The 20227-nt window shown below is 44.1% G+C and overlaps 1 long non-coding RNA gene across 1 annotated transcript in view; it reads right to left on the bottom strand.

The window, feature by feature from the left end:
• The window catches only part of LOC101928306 (uncharacterized), a 67864-nt gene that overhangs the window by 41414 nt on the left and 6223 nt on the right, over nucleotides 1-20227 (bottom strand). The window contains exon 2 of the long non-coding RNA NR_125893.1: nucleotides 13313-13438. This is a non-coding gene — a long non-coding RNA (uncharacterized LOC101928306). The remainder of the gene's footprint in view (nucleotides 1-13312; nucleotides 13439-20227) is intronic.

The raw sequence follows: 20227 nt of genomic DNA, 5'->3' as shown, positions 1-20227 counted from the left end.
TGGTCTTTACAATAAAAATTTCATCAAGATGAAATAGTAAGCACTTGTTTTGTTTATTGAATTTTTTTGTCTGGTTTTGAGATGGCATTTCACTCTTGTCTTGTCACCCAGGCTGGAGTGCAAATGGCGTGATCTCAACTCACTGAGACCTCTGCTTCCCAGGTTAAAGCGATTCTCCTGCCTCAGCCTCCAGAGTAGCTGGGATTACAGGCACATGCTACCGTGCCTGGCTAATTTTTGTATTTTTAGTAGAGATGGGGTTTCACCATGTTGGCCAGGCTGGTCTCAAACTCCTGACCTCAGGTGATCCACCCGCCTTGGCCTCCCAAAGTGCTGGGATTACAGGCGTGAGCCACCACGCCTGGCCCATTGAATGTAACTCTTCCATTCACCATCCTGCTTCAGAATCTCCATTCTCCTCCTGACCAAATGGAGTTTTACTTGAGTGCCAGTAGTAGGGGCTGGGTAAATACAAGAACGGTTCTTCTCCCAAAAGGAAGATGGGAGAACGCCTAAGAAAGATGCACAGAGTGGGGAGATCAACAAACGGGCCTTGGAGTAAGCTGACTTGGGTTTAAATCTTTGCTCTGCCACCACGAGGCCTGTGGCAATAAACAAGTCACTTCAACTCACTGTGTGAATCAGCTAGGGCTGTGGAACAAAGTACCACAGCCTTGAAGCCTTCAACATCAGAAGTGTATTCTCTCACAGTTCTGGAGGCCAGAAGTCCAAGATCAGGGTGTGGGCAGTGTTGGTTCTTCCCGAGGGCTGTGAGGGGAGGATAAGTTCCAGGCCCCTCTCCTTGGCTTCTAGATGGCCGTCTTCTCCCTGTGTCTTCACACGGTTTTCTGTCTGTCTGTGCCTCTGTGTCCAATTTCCCCTTTTTGTGAGGACACCAGCCATATTGGATAAGGGGCCACTCTAACCCTCCGTTTTACTTAATTACATATTTAAAGCCTCTATTTCCAAATACTGTCACATTCTGAGCTACTGGAGGTTAGGACTTCAACATATGGATTTGGGAGGACACAGTTCAGCCCCATAACACTGGCCAAGTCCCAGCCTTCTGATCTGTACAATGAGATTGTTGTATTCATTCCTCTTTCCCCCTTTTTAATTAAAAACTCCTTTTGGATCCTCCTCCCTGAGGCTTCCTATTTTTCATCAGTCAACCAACTTTTATTCATCTCCCATTATGTCCCACGCCCCTGTGCTAAGCTGGGCAGAACCCAGATGGCCCTGAGGGTTCCTTCAGTCAAGAGCAGAACTCAGGCTACAAGCAGATGCTCTGGTGGAAGAAAGTTCCAAATGCCATGGGAGCCCAGGGAACCACTCTCTTGGGCAGTCAAGGAGGAACCCCCAAACTGATCTGAAATAATGAATAAAAGTTCACTCACTAGGGAGAGCTTGGGGCTGTGGGAGGGATGAGTGCATTCAGAGCAGAGGCAGCCAATGAAACATGGATATTTTTTGGCTTGCCAGAAAATCTAGACTCCCCTGTAGATCCTCCTGATGCCAGAAAAACTGGCAAGCCAGGACCCAGCATGACATCCAGCCCCCATCCCATCTGATACGGTTTGGCTGTGTCCCCACCCAAATCTCATCTTGAATTGTAGCTCTCATAATTCCCATGTGTTGTGGGGGGGACCCAGTGAAAGATAATTGAATCATGGGGGTGGTTCCCCCCACACCGTTCTTGTGGTAGTGAATAAGTCCCAAGATCTGATGATTTTATGAGCGGTTGCCCTTTTCACTTGGTTCTCTCAATTTTCTCTTGCCTGCCACCATGTAAGACATGCCTTTTGCCTTCGGCCATGACTGTGAGGCCTCTCCAGCCACATGGAACTGTGAGTCCATTAAACCTCTTTTTCTTTATAAATTACCCAGTCTCGGGTATGTCTTTTTCAGCAGTGTGAAGATGGACTAATACACCATCTCTTTCAACTGTCCTCCAGCCTCCTGCCTGCCCTGCTATGGCACAGCCCCTGCCTCTGCTGCTCATGGGCCTCTTTAGCTCATCCTCCCGGCCCCCAGCCACTTCCACCCTACACTGGGCTCCAGGGAGGTGAGCTTACAGGCCAAGGCAGGCCACCTGGATAGCCCATGGAACCCCTTCCCTACCATTCCAATAATGCTATTTCCATGCACAGTTGCACACATGTGTGACGGTGTGTGTATGTGTGTGGGGGGGTGTATGAGAAAGAGAGAGAGACAGAGAGAGAGAGAGAGGTTTTATCCAGAGGAAATTAAGTCTCCCCATGATCTGCAGTGCCCAGACCTGGTCTGTTCAGTTCAGCTATCTAAGCTGCAAGTTTCTCTATGAGCAAAATGGGGGAAATAAGACCTAAAACCTAATTAATAGAGTTAATACATGCAAAGTGCTTAAAAGTCCACCTCAAATGTTCAAATAATGCTCACTGGCTAGTTTTATTGTATGATTAGTGCACAGATTTGTTGTTTCAATTAAATGAGATGCTATGTACAAGGGACAAAAACAATGCCAGGTAAACTGGAGCTGCTCAATGAGCAGTTGATGTTAATTTTAGGGATAAATGCTCAGGTCCAAAAACTTTGGGTTGATGACCCCAGGCAGAGTTGAAGTAGCCAAAACTCCCTCTCATTGGCCTGCATCAGAAGGTACAGGGTCAGGGATAGTCAAGAGCATTAACCAACCTGTGCTGAGTGCCTCTGTTTGCATTGCTCTGAAATTACTTAATATCCATAATATTAGAGGATGAACCATTTAATTACGCATTTCATTTACTCTCCACTACTCTTGCCCCCATCTGAAAGAGGAGGAGGCTGAGGCACAGAGAGACTAAGTAATGTGTCAAGATCACACAGCAGGTGAGTGTTGAAACTCTGCACAGGGCACAGGGCAGAGCTCTTTCTCTCAGGAAGCAGAGCTGGTCTTTGTGCAGAATCAGTTCTACCCAGCCATTCACTCCGAGAGGCAAAAAGGGGCAGCTGCTGGACCATTTGAAGTCCCCAACCCATGTGATAGAAATGCCTCAGCTGCCCACAGCCTGCCAAAACAGACCTTCACGTCACGGGCTGGTTCCCTCGCACACGGAGTCAACCAGCCTGAAACCACCATTGCGAATCTGTTTCCTGTTTTGACAGCTCACAATCCACCGTGCCACTGCTCTTTCACAAGTCTCCTCTGCCAGCCAGGCTGCTTCTGAAGCTCAGTCATGCTTTTAATAAAGGGCCGGCGGGGGAAATCAGTCCCAGGGAGCACTGCACAAATGTACGGGCTGAGAGGCTGCCGTTCAAATGTGTTCATTGTCCACAGACTCCCCTGGCCTCCAGGGTGCAGAGGCCTTCAGCCTCCACCAGTTTCTCAACCCCACTCTGAAAGGCAGGGGGTGATGAGAAGCATTGCTTGTGGCCTGGTCCCTCATGGTAAAAAGCTGGTAGTATCACACCCCCACCCCACAACCCCTGCCTCAGCCTGGCTGTGTGTGTGTGTGTGTGTGTGTGTGTGTGTGTGTGTGTGAGAGAGAGAGAGAGAGAGAGAGAGAGAACTTTCCAACAAACTCAAGCTCTGCCACTAACTAGCTGTGTGACCCTAAGAAGTCACTTATTTTTGGAGCTTAGTCTTCTCAACTGGAAAATGAGGGGCTTGGACAACAGTGATGTTTTCAAACCCAGAAGAATCCTAGAAATTTCTGGTTGTGCTTGGCCGATTTGAAAATCCTGGGTTTGATAAAAAGATAATTCGGTTCTAGAAGCCATCACCATTGTCAGAATCAACATTCGTTGAGCCTGGTGGGGTTCAGGATGTTGCCCTGAGAGCTGGGGTACTGAGAGGTATTATATCATTTTGTTCCATGCCAAATTGCTATTGCCTTAATAGTAGCTTCAGTTAACTGATAAAGCAATCAAATAGCAAGTATTTAGTGCCATCGTGGGCCAGGGAAAAAGCCAGAACCAACCTGAACTGTTCCCTGGGTTCAAATTCCACAATATTGCTGAGCTCAGAGCCCCATCTGTAAATTGTGGATTCTAATGCTTCCCTCTGAGTTTGTGAGAACCAAGGAATTGACATTTGAAAATGCTGGACACATCTGTGGTCGTCAATAATATGCCAATTTCTCTTTCCCCCAATTATCAAAGTTTAGGGGCTAGACTGTGCCACAGAGAATAAAGATAAGAACTTTTGGCTTGAAGAACTGTTTTATTTGGCTGAAGAGAAAAGACAAACACTGAGCGTGGCTCTGCAAGCCTGCTAGGGATTTTTGAAGAAAACATTTACAATCTATCTATAGAGATGAGTAATTACTCCTCAAAGCAGGTAAAACTCTGGCTTCCCAGGGCGCCTCACCTAGATATTTTTCTAGAGTTCCCCTTTGGAAACCACTTTTAAAACCAGAGAAATGTTTTTCAAATGTATCACTGTTGTTGCCAATTCATTCATTCATTCATTCATTCATTCACTCAGCAAATATTCATTGGAATAAGTACTACATCTTAGTGTTTGAGATACCACTAGGAAGTGCAATTGTAAATACGATGGTAAAGCCAGCCCTCAGTGTCCACATGGGACCCATGGGTACTGAGAGCTGATTAGAAGATATTTGAGCATCCATGGATTTTGATGTCCTCGGGGGTCCTGGACCCAATCCCCCATGGATACAGAGGGCCAACTGTATTCCTATTGTTATTTTATCATGGATGCTGTGGTTGTTGCTTTCATTACTTTTGATAATGATATCCCTGTTCTAAAGCAGCCGATAGCCTGGATTTGATTAATTTTAGCATCAGAAGTTATTTGGAGCTAAGTATAGCAACTCAAGAAACCTATGACGTGGGGTAATAGTAAGAATGTCTTCACAGTGCTTTCTCATAATATGCTTTTCCATCAAATCATTTACTGTATCCTGGTAAGACCTCTATTAAAAAGGAGCTATTTCTCCTACTATACAGAGAAGAAAAATAAGGCTCAGAGAGAGAAAAGATCTTGTCGAAGTTCACATAGCTAAAAAGTAGCTGAGCTGCCATTAAAATTTAGGTCCCTGACACAAGTCAGTAGGACTGTCACATAATAACCTGGCCAGTTATCTCACGATTATGGAAGATTTCATTAATAGCCCCAAATCCTCACCCCTCCCTGTATCACACTCTTTGCCATATGATTATTTCAGTTTTATCTCTTAAAAAAAACAAAAACAAAACAAAAAAAAAACAAAAAAAACAAGACTATTTCCCCACCCATTGACTTGGAGTTCAGCCACATAGCTTGCTTTGGTCAGTGGAATGCTAACAGGTGTGACATCACCAGTGGCCGGGATGTGTTTGGGTGGTTGGGTTTTTGTACCATTGACATGAGAAAAGCACACCTGGGTTAGAGCCTTGGTCTCTGGAGGAGGATGAGAGGTCTGTGGGGCCTGAGCTGGGCTGCCCCAGGGGAGCCTGGCTGAGCATGGGCCAAGATCAGTCACCCTCCAGCTGACCTCTGAGCTAACTAAATGCTGATTGTTGTGTGCTGCTGAGATTCTGGGTTTGTTGGTTAGGTAGTGTTATTGTGGGTAATATATATCTTCTCATCCTGTTTTTAGGGCTCAGTGGCAGCTACAGTATGGAGCAGTTCACCTCAGTGTGAGATTGAGTAGTACGAGGACTTACCTAGTGGCTAAGAACAAGATATATGTGACATGTGTTCTTAAGCATTTATCCTACTGATAAGTCATTCAAAGCACTATTTCTATGTTAAAAACACACTTGGTGTAGTATACAGCAAGATGGAAGGTATGCATGAATGAAGATCAAGTATTAGATTTTTATCACATTTTTCTTGTTAGAGGAACCCACTGTAAACTTTTCTCCCAGAACCCTTAGGACGGCCTCACTCTTTAACAGGAGTGCTTTCATGGAAAAATGAAACACTGGTCTAGTGGAAACTTGGACCATGAAGTACTGAGAGAAAGTTCTAGTGTTTTCCAACTGTATGATGCTAGGCAAGTCACTAGCCTCCGGGAGCCCCTGTTTTCTCATATAAGAGGGGGGCCCAGGCTCCAACCTAGGAGTGTGAGGAAAATCTCACTCTCATGCTATATAGTTATATAGCATGAGAGAATTTATGTTGCAAGTGTAAGGTATGGATGATGCTCATGACCTAATAAGTAAATAAAAATAACAAGTTTCCGTTGGCACAAACACGCTCTTCCACCTTTCTCCAGCAATAACTCTGCATAGAAACCCCAAGCAGTAAGTTCTGTTTCCTAGAATTCAAGAGGGACTTCTGAAATCATAGTATGCTCATGCCAAGACCCTAATGAATAGATTTAACACTGGTGCTACTATTATTTACCATCCAAGAGTGTTTACAGAGGCCAGTGGGGTTTGGGGTGCTGTCCAGAACCTATAGGTAGACACGGTCTCTTCCTTGCAAACAAACGAAGCCTTGAAATATTATATTTTTTATTTGTGCCATGGGCTTTCTAAAAAATAGCATGCCCTGCACAATGTTTTCCTTCCCTTGCTTAAATGCTCTCATCCTAAGCAGAAGAAAACAGTAAATGGAAGAAATTGCAGGCAGTGGGATCCAAAGGGAATTTTCAGAGGTCTCTCAACCCTGTAGTGTCTCCAAGCTCTTGAGTTCAGAAGTTAGAAAACACAGCTGACCAAATGGGAAAGCAAGCCATGGATTGCCCTCAGCTCCCACCTGCCTCTCTGCCTCCTGCAGGCTGCTCACCCCCTCTCTTCGTTGTCTCTCTGAATTCTCCCTCAAACGGACCCCTCTTGCCAGTCCTGAAGCACTACCCAGGTCCAGCCCACATGGCCCTGGGCTTTGACAGTTTGCATCAGTCTCATTGCCAGTTCCTCTAATCCGGCTTCCCCTGCAATGGAGTCCTCTTTCTGAACCCAAGACCTGAAGGCATCTTCACTTGTTTCCCATTGTCAGTGAGTAGAGTTCCAGTGTCCTTAGTTTAGAAGACAAAAATGGCTCCAGTCTGGCTCCAGCTTTCCTATTCAGCCTCGTAAGTGCCCCTCCCTTCCTGGCACGAGACCCGTCAGCCATGCCAATTTGACCACAATTTCCCATCATGGTATACTTTCTCCTGCCTCCACTTAGGCCTATCTTACCCCCTTCCCTGCCTAGAAGACTTCTATTTGACCAATTGATCCTAAGTCAAATACGATCACCTTGGGGAAAGTTTTCATTCATCAGCAAAAGTTTACCAAGACCTTGGGCCTCATGCTTGGTTTAATGTTTTGCTATCACAGTCTTGAAATTCTTAACGGCTTTGTCTTTGAACTTGTGTTTTGTGAGTAAAGTCTGATGGGACAATAGCGCCTGCACACGAGCAGAGGAAATACCACAGCATGTGTCCAGTGTACCCGCCATTCCCTGCCACCCCATTTCCATGAAGCACTCAGCTGGTCCAGAATTCTGATGGATCAATGATTCATGAGAGTTCAGCGTGACCCAGAGCAACTATACCGCAAGCATGAGGCCTCTCCATCTCGGTAACAGGGGCTCCAACTGCCCCTGAGCCCATGCTTTTTGTTGCAACCTGAACTTGGGTCAAAATGCAGAAAGAGGACCATGATGTTCAAAGAAACATGAATGACAGAGGGACTTTGTCCGATCCTTTTGTACTGATGTTGCGTCTCTGAATTAACCAGTCACCAACACTGGAGATGATGGCATTGAAAGAAAGACAGGGCAGGACAGAATTCCCTTTTTGTCCAGTCCTTCCTTACTCAGCAGGAAGGCGCAGATAGAGAGCATCGGTAGAATGTGTGTGTGTCAGAGGTGCAGCCAAAACCGATGAGTTTGTTTTGTGCCTCGTTTCCAGTGTTCAGGTAAGAATGAAATACATGTGCCCAGAGGAGCTACAAGATAGGATAGGAAAGTGTAATTCCTGAGATTCTATATAAGAGATCGATGAGCTCATATTTGCATGGAAGACTGGCATCACACAGTTTGAAGATAAGTGATAAAATTCATGCTAAGGATTTTTAGTTTTATTTTAACTTAGATTGCAGGGTTTTTTTGTTTGTTTTTGTTTTTTTGAGATGGAGTCTCGCTCTATTGCCCAGGCTGGAGTGCAATGGCATGATCTCAGCTCACTGCAACCTCTACCTCCTGGGTTCAAGTGACTCTTCTGCCTCAGCTTTCTGAGTAGCTAGGATCACAGGCGCCCACCACCAAGCCTGGCTAATTTTTAGTAGAGATGGGATTTCATCGTGTTGGTCAGACTGGTCTCGAACTCCTGACCGTGGGGGATCTGCCCACCTCAGCTTCCCAAAGTGCTGGGATTACAGGCATGAGCCAGCCACTGCACCCTGCCATGATTGCAGTTTAATAGTAAATTTAAAGAATCACAGGGCAAGAAGAAAACCACAAAAGAAAAGATGCTTTATATTTCAGTAACTTTATTTTTCAATATTTTTTGGGATACTGGTGGTTTTGGGCTACGTGGATAAGTTTTTAAGTGGTGATTCTGAGATTTTAGTGCACCTGTCACCTGAGCAGTTACACTGTACCTAATATGTAGTTTTTATCCCTCACCCTACTCCCTACTTCGTCAGGGTCCCTGATCACTCTTACGCCTTTGTGTCCTCTTAGCTTAGCTCCTACTTATTGGTGAGAATATATGATATTTGGCTTTCCATTCCTGAGTTACTTCACTTAGAAAGGCCTCGAGCTCTGTCCAAATTGCTGCAAAAGACATTATTTTGTTCAATTTTTTGGCTGAGTAGTATTCCATGGTGCATATATACTACATTTTCTTTATCCACTCGTTGGTCAATGAGCACTTAGGTTGGTTCCATATCTTTGCAATTGTGAATTGTGCTGCTATAAACATGCTTGTGCGAGTGTATTTTTCAATATAATGACTTCTTTTCCTTTGCGTAGATACCCAGTAATGGGATTTCTGGATTGAATGGTAGTTCTACTTTTAGTTCTTTTGGGAATCTCCACCCTGTTTTCCATGGTGGTTGAATTAATTTACATTCCTACCAGCGGTGTAAAAGTGATCCCTCTTCAACACATCTATGTCAACATCTTTTCTCCTTTTTGAAAAAGGGGCCCGCCATTTTCATTTTGCACTCTGGCAGCCTTGCCTGGGGAGACAGACACGACGAAGAGGCATGCTCTGGCCTCCAGGTCCTGAGTGTGGAAAGAGGTGAGATGGACAGTTACAGACACAGACCGCCAGGCTCACAGCTCTGCGTTTATCTCTCCTTCCAGCACATGGCTTGCTGCATGGTCATTGTTCATTGTTCTTCTGCCCCCTAGACTGTAGGCCCCATGAGGCCCTGGCCCTGGCACTGAGTCCTTGAGGAGTGCCTGTGAATGAACAGATGGCCTCTGACTTGATACCTTCTCTTTGTTCACATAATCACTTGATTCCCATCCAGTGGGGTGCTTAGTTCTAGACATGCCTGTTTTGAATTATCCCTCTTGGCCATTCGTTTTAAGTCACACATACTGCGATTGTTTTTGATTAAGGCAGCAAGGACATGAGGAATAACAAGAGATGAGACGTGCTTGGCCTTCCCGGGGATCCGACAGGAGCTGCCATGCTTGATGTCTCCAGTGGATTTCCATTTCTGCACCCCGTCCTAGAGATTCAAGAACTTGTCTGGTCCTCCAATCCTAGGAACCTTGGTAGCACAAGGGCCAATCTGCTCCAACACTGCCACTCCCAGGTAATCACATCTTGCTACAATTTCCTATTTACATGTCTGCCTGTGCAATTCATTTTGTAGAATGAATGAATGAATACATTAATCAGTAAATCAAAAGATGGAAGAATCAATGAAAGAATAGCAAATCAGAATAATGACTGCTGAATTTGCTCCCCTTGCTCCCCAAGGTCCTAGAGGGTGTGCTTAGTCAGTACTGAGTGCTTGAACCATGAGACCTCTGGCTCCTGTTGTATCGAGCTAAGCTGGGAATGGCAGACAGACCAATCATGTCAAGGTTCAGCTTTTCAGAGGCTGCAGGGTAAATGGGGCAACAGCACAGGCTTTAGAGCCAGGTGGACAAGGGGTAAAATCTCAACAGTCCTGCTACTTTCTGTGATTTTGGACAAATCTCTTGTTGCCTCTAAGACTGAGTTATCATTTCTGCAAAATGGAAAATATATGTATCTTATGGGATTTTTAAAAATCATTGTATATCATTTATATTTTTAAATTGGCAATTCCTGGCATCAATTATGATTCTTATTTCCATCTGTGCCTAGATACACATAGAGATCTCAAGGCAGCTGCTATGGGAGTAGCTTCCAAGGTCATAGAGCTTTCATCTGCGTTATTTGGCCCATGAGATGTTTTCCATGTTCTGAGCTAGCTTGTATGATTAACTGATGGGAAAGAAGTAGAAAAACTAGCAGACACTCAATAAACATTTACTGAGCTGAATGGCATCCAGGGACCTCCCCATGCCCTGCTTCCATTAAAGGCAAAGCTGTTCCCCACTTCTCAGGACCCTCCTTGTCCTCTCTTCTCCCTACTCCATGCCAACAGCCACCAGGTCCTGCAGGTTTTGTCACTGTGTATTAGTTCACCATGAGTGCCTACTGTATGACTCGTGCTATGCTGGCCACTGTGGATGTTGTGGGGAGCAAATCAGGAGAGGTCCTTGTAGAACTTAGTTTGGTAGAAGAAAACAGACCCTATACAAATACACACCAAATATTCGTTTCATTACATACTGCACACAGGGCTCCAGTGAAACAGGATGGCGAGGGAAAGAGTATGAAACTTCAGTGGGTGGGAAGAAGAAAGGTTCTGTTGTTGTTATTGTTTTCAGACAGAGCCTTGTTCTCTCACCCAGGCTGGAGTGCAGTGGCGTGATCTTGGCTCACTGCAACCTCCGCCTCCTGGGTTCAAGCAATTCTGCCTCAGCCTCCTGAGCAGCTGGGATTACAGGTGCACACCACCACAGCCAGCTAATTTTTATACTTTTACTAGAGATGGGTTTCACCATGTTGGCCAGGCTCATCTCAAACTCCTGACCTCATGATCCACCCGCCTCGGGCTCCCAAAGTGCTGGGATTACAAGCGTGAGCCACCACACCCGGCCGAAGAAAGGCCCTTCAAGAATGAGAATTTGCTGACCAGGAAAAAAAAAGATGAGAAGTGCTTCAGCGGCAGAGGAAATAGCACATGCAAAGGCCCTGGGGTCTGAAAGCACTCTGCAAGCCCAGCTGGAACTCAGTGAGCGAGGTGGAGGTGGCACCACAGTTGCTCACATTTACTGGGCACATAGGAGGTGCCAGGCACTGTTCTATGGCTTCATAGGTCTTGACTCGGTTAATCCTTCCAAAAGCCCTGCCAGAAGTTTTGGTCACCATTTTACAGACAGAGAAGCTGAGACCCAGGGAGGTGAGGTGGCTAGCCCATGACCATCCAGATTCTCAGCGGCTGAGCCTGGGTTCCATCTAGGGCAGTCTTGCTCCAGGGCCCGTGACTAACCCACGGAGCTGCCTTCCTTAAGAGGGGCTATGGAGGCAGGTAGCAGGCCTGAGAGGCCATGCTAAGGAGGGATGTTTTCCTTTCAAACATCTCTTGCCTTTGCTTCTTAGCATTGACTCCTAATTCTCCTACTTGCTAAGTGGGTTGTCTTAGGCCAGTTACTCCACCGCCCTTTATTTCATTTCACAATTCTTTTTATCATGTTCCTGCTATGTGCCAGGCATGTGCGAGGAGCGGGGGAGACATGCAGTGGTGAGCAAAAGCAGGTGCGCACCTTGCCATCAAGGTCATTGCAGTCCACTTGAGGGAGAGCGTGTTAATCAAACAGTCTAATGGAGGTAAGGCCTGTGAGGGCATGATGCATAGTCCCGGAGAAGCTATATGAAAGGGGCCCCTTCTGGGCTATGAGTCAGGGAAAGCTTCCCTAAGGAAGTTGCACTCAAGCTGAGATTGGAAGGGTAGGCAGGAAATATCCAGGTAAAGTAAGAGGGTTGGGACTGGGCATGGTGGTCCACGCCTGTAATCCCAGCACTTTGGGAGTCCGAGGTGGGCGGATCACCTGAAGTCAGGAGTTTGAAACCAGCCCGGCCAACATGGTGAAACCCCATCTCTACTAAAAATACAAAAAAATTAGCTGGGCCTGGTGGTGCACACCTGTAGTCACAGCTACTTGGGAGGCTGAGACATGAGAGTTACCTGAACCCAGGAGGCAGAGGTTGCAGTGAACCTAGATCACACCATTGCACTCCAGGCTGGGCAACAGAGCAAGAGTCCCTCAAAAAAAAAAAAAAAAAAAAAAAAAGGAAGAGGGTTGGGATAAAAATGGGGCTGCCCAAGGCTGGGCGTGGTGGCTCACGCCTGTAATCCCAACACTTTGGGAGGCCAAGGCGGGCGGATCACGAGGTCAGGAGATCAAGACCATCCTGGCCAACATGGCGAAACCCGGTCTCTATTAAAAATACAAAAAGTAGCTGGGTGTGGTGGCGTGTGCCTGTAATCCCAGCTACTTGGGAGGCTGAGGCAGGAGAATTGCTTGAACCAGGGAGTCAGAGGTTGCAGTGAGCCGAGATTGCATCACTGTACTGCAGCCTGGTGACAGAGCGAGACTCTGCCTAAAAATAAATAAATAAATAATAAAAAGAAAAAGAAATGGGGCTGCCCAGGCACCCAGTTACATTTGAATTTTAAATAGACAACAAATAATGTTTAGCATAACATTATTATATTGCATGAGATGTGTTTATAATAAAATCTTACTCATTGTTTATCTGATATTCACATGTAACTGCACCTCCTGTTTTTGTTTATTCATTGAGTTTTGTTTGTGTATCTGGCAACCTGAGGTAGGAAGGGTATTCAGGACAGAGGGACTAGCATATGCAAAGTGATGATCATAGGACAAAGCACACTGTTAGAGAGAACCTGCAGGGAAACCAGTGTGACTGGGCACAGTAAGCCTCAGTTTCCTCACTTACAAGGTGGAAGTTGTAATAGTGCATAACTCACAGGAGTATATACGTAAAGTGTTTAGCATAGTGTTGGGGCAGAGTTATCACTCAATAAAGGTTAGATGCTATCATGCCTTATCCTTCACCTCCACCATCTTCATCTCCTCTTTTTCTACCAATTCCAACCAATTCTAGATCTTTCTGGACCCTTGCAATTGCCATCATTTAAAAAAAGAGTGGTCAGGTTCTCACCAAAATTATGATTTAAAAAGCCCTAGAAGTTGAAGATTTTGTTTGGTGTCAGCTTAAGCTATTTCTGAAAATGACTCTGCTAATAAATATATTATTATTAGTCCACTTGTGTTGCTGCAAAGGAATACCCAAAGCTGGGTAATTTATAAAGAAAAGAGGCTTATTTGACTCACAGTTCTGCCGGCTGTACAAGAAGCATGGCATCAGCATCTGCTTCTGGTGAGGGCTGCAGGCTTCTTCCGTTCATGTCAGAAGGCAAAAGGTAGCTGGTATGCAGAGATCACATGGTGAAGGGGTAGCTGAGAGAGAGATGGAAAGAGGTACTAGGCTCTTTTCAACAACCAGCTCTTGCAAGAATTAAGAATGAAAACTCACTTACTCCCACAAGAATGGCACCAAGCCATTCATGAGGGATCTACCCCCACAACCCAAACACCTCCCACAAGACCCCACTTTCAACACTGGGGATCAAATTCCAACATGAGACTTGGCAGGGCCAAATAAGCCATATCCAAAAGATAGCATATACTAACATAACGATTGGAAGACAATGACTCAGGAATGAAATTAGCTGCTACAGAGAAGCAGTATGCTACTCGGACATGGTGTCAGTTACCATAGCAGAAGCCCAAGTTAGACACTGACTTCTCCCTTACATATGCAGGCTAGCCAGGCAGCCCCCAAGGTATCAGGAACCCAAGCTTCTCCCAGGATGTTGTTCTGCCATCTCTATGATGTTGTTTTGTGGTCAGCCTCTGATAATTCGAATATCTGACATCTTTGTAGGTCTATTTCTATTGTCTTTTATTTCTGCTGGTTATTCACCATGGAGTCTTTTTTCTTTGTTTGCTTTTTTATTCAAGATTATCCCAGTTAAATAAATGAAGAAATTCTCCCAAAGAGTTCACCAACACATTTGTATTCCAACTAGCAGGAAGAGAAGAAATGGTGCTGGAGAGGGTATAAGGCTTCCCTTTAAGGGCATAACTCAGAGCTTGTATAAGTCACACTCATATCCTTTGGCCAAAACTTAGTCAAAGAGCCACAGTTGGCTGCAAAGAATGCTGCTAAATGTAGTCTTTACTTCAGGGGTGGCTGTGTGCTCAGCCAAAACGTCAGGCTTTTATTACCGTAGAAAGAGGGGAGAACAGATATCAGAACACACCAGCAGTGTGCCAACAGCCAAGGTGCAAAGTCACTTGAAATAGACTCGGCTGGCACATCTTTCCATCTGGGATCTTTTCTACCTACAAGGAATGAGGACCCAGGGGTCCTGGAACCAGGGAGGTTGGAAAGACAGGGATTCCGGGGAGTAGCAAAACATAGAAACAAATCTAGGGATAATTAGGACAAGGAGCTAAATGTGATGTTTAATGCCAGCCACAATGAAGAATAAGTTTTCTACTCTAGTTGCTCATAAATTCAAAACAGCTTCAAGGAAGGAGAAACAGCTTGAAAAACTTTTGTGAGCATATAAATATGGTGACAGAATATGTTATATATTATTTATACACATTGTATGTAGAGAGAGAGAAAGAGAGAGAGAGAGCGAGAAAGACAGAGAGACAAAGAGAAGTGACACCTCAACTAAAATTGGTCTTTATTTTATATCTGTATTTGTGTCTGCCGATTATTGAGCAGTTGAACATTGGTGTTGCTCTTTGTTTGTTTATTTATTTATTGTCTTGCTCTGTCACCCCAGGCTGGAGTGCAGTGGTGCGATCTCAACTCACTGCAACCTCTGCCTCCCGGGTTCAAGGGATTTTCCTGCCTCAGCCTCCCAAGTAGCTGGGATGACAGGCACCCACCACCATGCTCGGCCAATTTTTTTATTTTTGTTTTTAGTAGAGATGGGGTTTCACCATGTTGGCCAGGCTGGTCTCAAACTCCTGACCTCAGGTGATCCACCCGCCTTGGCCTCCCAAAGTGCTGGGATTACAGCATTTTGCTGAGCCACCGTGCCCAGCCTGGTGTTGCTCTTTAAATGAAAGCAAACTTGTGTGCAGTCTCCTCCCTCCTTCACTCCTCAAAGCTTTAGGACATCCCTGCTCTCCACCAGGCCTGGCCTGAAATCAGGGCCAGGATGCAGATGCTGCAAAGACTCCAGCTTCTCCCCCAGGAATATGTGTGCCCCTGGAAAGGCATAACCACTAGGCCTACCTATCGGTTCACAGAAGCACCACAGGGCTACAGGTATTCTGGAACCTTCTGCCATTGTGTATCAACAGTCAGGTGCTCCTGTCTTGATGGCCTGGTAAGAAAATACCCACTCTGGAGGAAGACAGTCCTAGGTTCAAATTCTTCTTCTGAAGCTTCCTATTCATGCGGCCTTATGGGAAAGAGCTTTGCCTTACATATGAGGCTGGTATGGTGTTGAGCAACAGTCTTGGGAACCAGGTGGACCTGGCTGTCATCTTGGCCCTGACTCCTCTAGGGTGACCAACTGTCCTAGTTTGCCCAGAATAGAAGGTTTCCAGAGATGCAGAAATTTCAGTGCTAAAACCACGACAGTCCCAAGCAAATTGGGACAGTTGATTGCCCTGCTACCAGACACATGCTCCAGGGCAAGTTACTTAATGCTCTGAGGCTCAATTTCCTTGCACATAAAAATGGGCCTAGTAATGTCTATCTTGCAGGAGAGCTATAGGGAATAGAAATAGTGCCTCGTGCAGAGTAATCATCAGAATTATTATTAATATTATTAACTTCTCCCCCTCACTGCCTGTGCACCTCTTTTATAATAGCCAGTGTCCCAATTTACCTGAAGGGTCCACATAGCTCCATCAGGCCATTATAAAGCAGCAAAAGTGAAGGGCTTTCTCCCTGATGCATTGTTTTTCTATGCAGGGGTCAAGGAAGCCTCCCAGCCTCCAGGGTTCCCCACATCTCTGGGCCTGAGTGAGCCCTCAGTGTCCCACAATTGCTGAGGCCTTGAGTCAGTTATAAACCTTCCCTCCAACCCCAAGACCATGTGGCTTTGTTCATTAAGGCTGTTGCTTGGCTCTGCAGCTCTGAGACAATGCCGAGTATGACTTTGTCCACCCTCACCTTGATTGCATTCACAAGTACTTCCTAAAATTAATTGCAAAGGAAAAAAAAACAACAAAAACAAAAACCAAAAACCAAAAATACACGTTGGTGTCTCTTTGTTGCAAGAAAAAAAATTCACTATTCATTCCAAGTAAAATTGCTTCATAACTCAATAATTTCATCCAGCCTCCCAGGCCCCCAGAAGGCACTGAAATACTTAGCACGTGGCTAAGTGCAGCACTCAGAGAAGGTGTGAATTTGCAAGAATGTGGAAGTTTCATCCAACTTTCTCAGTTTCATCACAAATGACTGCCTTCCTGCTTTCTAGGCCCAGCCCTCCAGACTTCAGAACAAGAAACAGGCACATTGACTGCAAACCCGAGACCTTTGTGAAGACAGGGAGGGTACTAAAGGAAAAATGCCAAAGCCTTTTGTTTTCTTTTTTTATTATTATTATACTTTAAGTTCTGGGATACATGTGCAGAACGTGCAGGTTACGTAGGTATACACTTGCCATAGTGGTTTGCTGCACCAATCAACCCATCATCTACATTAGGCATTTCTCCTAATGCTATCCCTCCCCTAGCCGCTCATCCCCCAACAAGCCCCAGTGTCTGATGTTCCCCTCCCTGTGTCCATGAGTTCTCATTGTTCAACTTCCACTTATGAGTGAGAACATGTGGTGTTGGTTTTCTGTTCCTGTGTTAGTTTGCATGAGAATCATGGTTTCCAGCTTCATTCATGTCCCTGCAAAGGACATGAACTCATCCTTTTTTATGGCTGCATAGTATTCCATGGTGTATATGTGCCACATTTTCTTTATCCAGTTAATCATTGATGGGCATTTGGGTTGGTTCCTAGTCTTTGCTATTGTGAATAGTGCTTCAATAAACATACGTGTGCATGTGTCTTTATAGTAAAATGATTTATAATCCTTTGAGTATATATCCAGTAATGAGGTTGCTGTTTCAAATGATATTTCTGGTTCTAGATCCTTGAGAAATCACCACACTGTCTTCCATAATGGCTGAACTAATTTACACTCTCTCACTGTGGTTTTGATTTGCATTTCTCTAATGACCAGTGATGATGAGCTTTTTTTCATGTTTGTTGGCCACATAAATGCCTTCTTTTGAGAAGTGACTGTTCATATCCTTTGCCTACTTTTTGATGGGGTTGTTTGCTTTTTCTTTTAAATTTGCTTAAGTTCCTTGTAGATTCCGGATATTAGCCCTTTGTCAGTTGGATAGATTGCAAAAATTTTCTCCCATTCTATAGGTTGCCTGTTCACTCATGCTAGTTTCTTTTGCTGTGCAGAAGCTCTTTAGTTTAATTAGATACGGTTTGTCAATTTTGGCTTTTGTTGCCATTGCTTTTGGTGTTTTAGACATGAGGTCTTTTCCCATGCCTATGTTTTGAATGGTATTACCTAGGGTTTCTACTAGGGTTTTTATGGTTTTAGGTCTTACATTTAAATCTGTAATCTATCTTGAGTTCATTTTTGTATAAGATGTTAGGAAGGGGTCCAGTTTCAGTTTTCTGCATATAGCTAGCCAGTTTTCCCAACACCATTTATTAAACAGAGAATCCTTTCCCCATTGCTTGTTTTTGTCAGGTTAGTCAAAGATCAGATGTTTTTAGATGTGTGGCATTATTTCTGCGGTATCTGTTCTGTTCCATTGGCCTCTATATTTGATTTAATACCAGTACTATGCTGTTTTGGTTACTGTAGCCTCATAGTATAGTTTGAAGTCAGGTAGTGTGATGCCTCCAGCTTTGTTCTTTTTGCTTAGGATTGTCTTGGCTATATGGGCTCTTTTTTGGTTCCATATGAAATTTAAAGTAGTTTTTTCTAATTCTGTGAAGAAAGTCAGTGGTAGCTTGATGGGGATAGCATTTAATTTATAATTTACTTTGGGCAGTATGGCCATTTTCATGATATTGATTCTTCCCATCCATGAGCATGGAATGTTTTTCCATTTGTTTGTGTCCTCTCTTATTTCCTTGAGCAGTGGTTTGTAGTTCTCCTTGAAGAGGTCCTTCACGTACCTTGTAAGTTGTATTCCTAGGTATTTTATTCTCTTTGTAGCAATTGTGAATGGGAGTTCACTCATGATTTGGCTCTCTGTTTGTCTATTATTGGCATATAGGAATGCTTGTGATTTTTGCACGTTGGTTTTGTATCCTGTGACTTTGCTGAAATTGCTTATCAGCTTAGGAAGTTTTTAGGCTGAGACGATGGGGTTTTCTAAATATATAATCATGTCATCTGTAACCAGAGACAATTTGACTTCCTCTTTTCCTATTTGAGTACCATTTATTTCTTTCTCTTGCCTAATTGCCCTGGCCAGAACTTCCAATACTATGTCGAATAGCAGTGGTGGGAGAGGGCATCCTTGTCTTGTGCTGGTTTTCAAAGGGAATGCTTCCAGCTTTTGCCTATTCAGAATGATACTGGCTGTAGGTTTGTCAAAATAGCTCTTATTATTTTGAGATACATTCCATCAATATCTAGTTTATTGAGAGTTTTTAACATGAAGGGATGTTGTATTTTATCAAAGGCCTTTTCTGCATCTATTGAGATAATCATGTGGTTTTTGTCATTGGTTCTGTTTATCTGATGGATTACATTTATTGATTTGTGTACGTTGAACCAGCCTTGCATCCCAGGGATGAAGCTGACTTGATCATGGTGGATAAGCTTTTTGACTTGCTGCTGGATTCGGTTTGCCAGTATTTTATTGAGGATTTTTGCAATGATGTTCATCAGGGATATTGGCCTGAAGTTTTCTTTTTTTGTTGTGTCTCTGCCAGGTTTTGGTATCAGGATGAAGCTGGCCTCATAAAATGAGTTATGGAGGAGTCCCTCTTCTTTGATTGTTTGGCATAGTTTCAGAAGAAATGGTACCAGCTCCTCTTTGTACGTCTGGGAGAATTTGGCTGTGAATCCGTCTGGTCCTGGGCTTTTTTTGGTTGGTAATCTATTAATTACTGCCTCAATTTCAGAACTTGTTATTGGTCTATTTAGGGATTCCACTTCTTCCTGGTTTAGTCCTGGGAGGGTGTATGTGTCCAGAAATTTATCCATTTCTTCTAGATTTTCTAGTTTATTTGCATAAAGGTGTTTACAGTATTCTCTGATGGTGGTTTGTATTTCTGTGGGATCAGTGGTGATACCCCCTTTATCATTTTTTTACTGTGTCTATTTGATTCTTCTCTCTTTTCTTCTTTATTAGTCTTGCTAGCAATCTATCTATTTTGTTAATTTTTTTAAAAAACCAGCTCCTGGATTCATTGATTTTTTGAAGGTTTTTTGTGTCTCTATCTCCTCCAGTTCTGCTCTGATCTTAGTTATTTCTTATCTTCTAGTAGCTTTTAAATTTGTTTGCCCTTGCTTCTCTGGTTCTTTTAATTGTGATGCTAGGGTGTCAATTTTAGGTATTTCCTGCTTTCTTCTGTGGGCATTTAGAGCTATAAATTTCCCTCTAAACACTGGTTTAGCTGTGTCCCAGAGATTCTGGTATGTTGTATCTTTGTTCTCATTGGTTTCAAAGAACTTCCTGATTTCTGCCTTAATTTTGTTATTTACCCAGTAGTCATTCAGGAGCAGGTTGTTCAGTTTCCATATAGTTGTGCGGTTTTGAGTGAGTTTCTTAATTCTGAGTTCTTATTTGATTGCACTGTGGTCTGAGAGACTGTTTGTTATGATTTCCATGCTTCTGCATTTGCTGAGGAGTGTTTTACTCCCAATTACATGGTCAATTTTAGAATAAGTGCAATGTGGTGCTGAGAAGAATGTATATGCTGTTGATTTGGGGTGGAGAGTTCTGTAGATGTCTACCAGGTCTGCTTGGTCCAGAGTTGAGTTAAAGTCCTGAATATCCTTGTTAATTTTCTGTCTCATTGATTTATCTAATATTGAAAGTGGGGTGTTAAAGTCTCCCACTATTATTGTGTGGGAGTCTAAGTCTCTTTGCAGGTCTCTAAGAATTTGCTTTATGAATCTGGGTGCTCCTATATTGGGTGCATATGTATTTAGGAAAGTTAGCTCTTCTTGT

This window comes from Homo sapiens, chromosome 4 (genome assembly GCF_000001405.40).
Source record: "Homo sapiens chromosome 4, GRCh38.p14 Primary Assembly".
Lineage (NCBI taxonomy): Eukaryota > Metazoa > Chordata > Mammalia > Primates > Hominidae > Homo > Homo sapiens.
The sequence above is the reverse complement of the archived record's forward strand: the minus strand, read 5'-3'. Positions and strand labels throughout refer to the sequence as shown.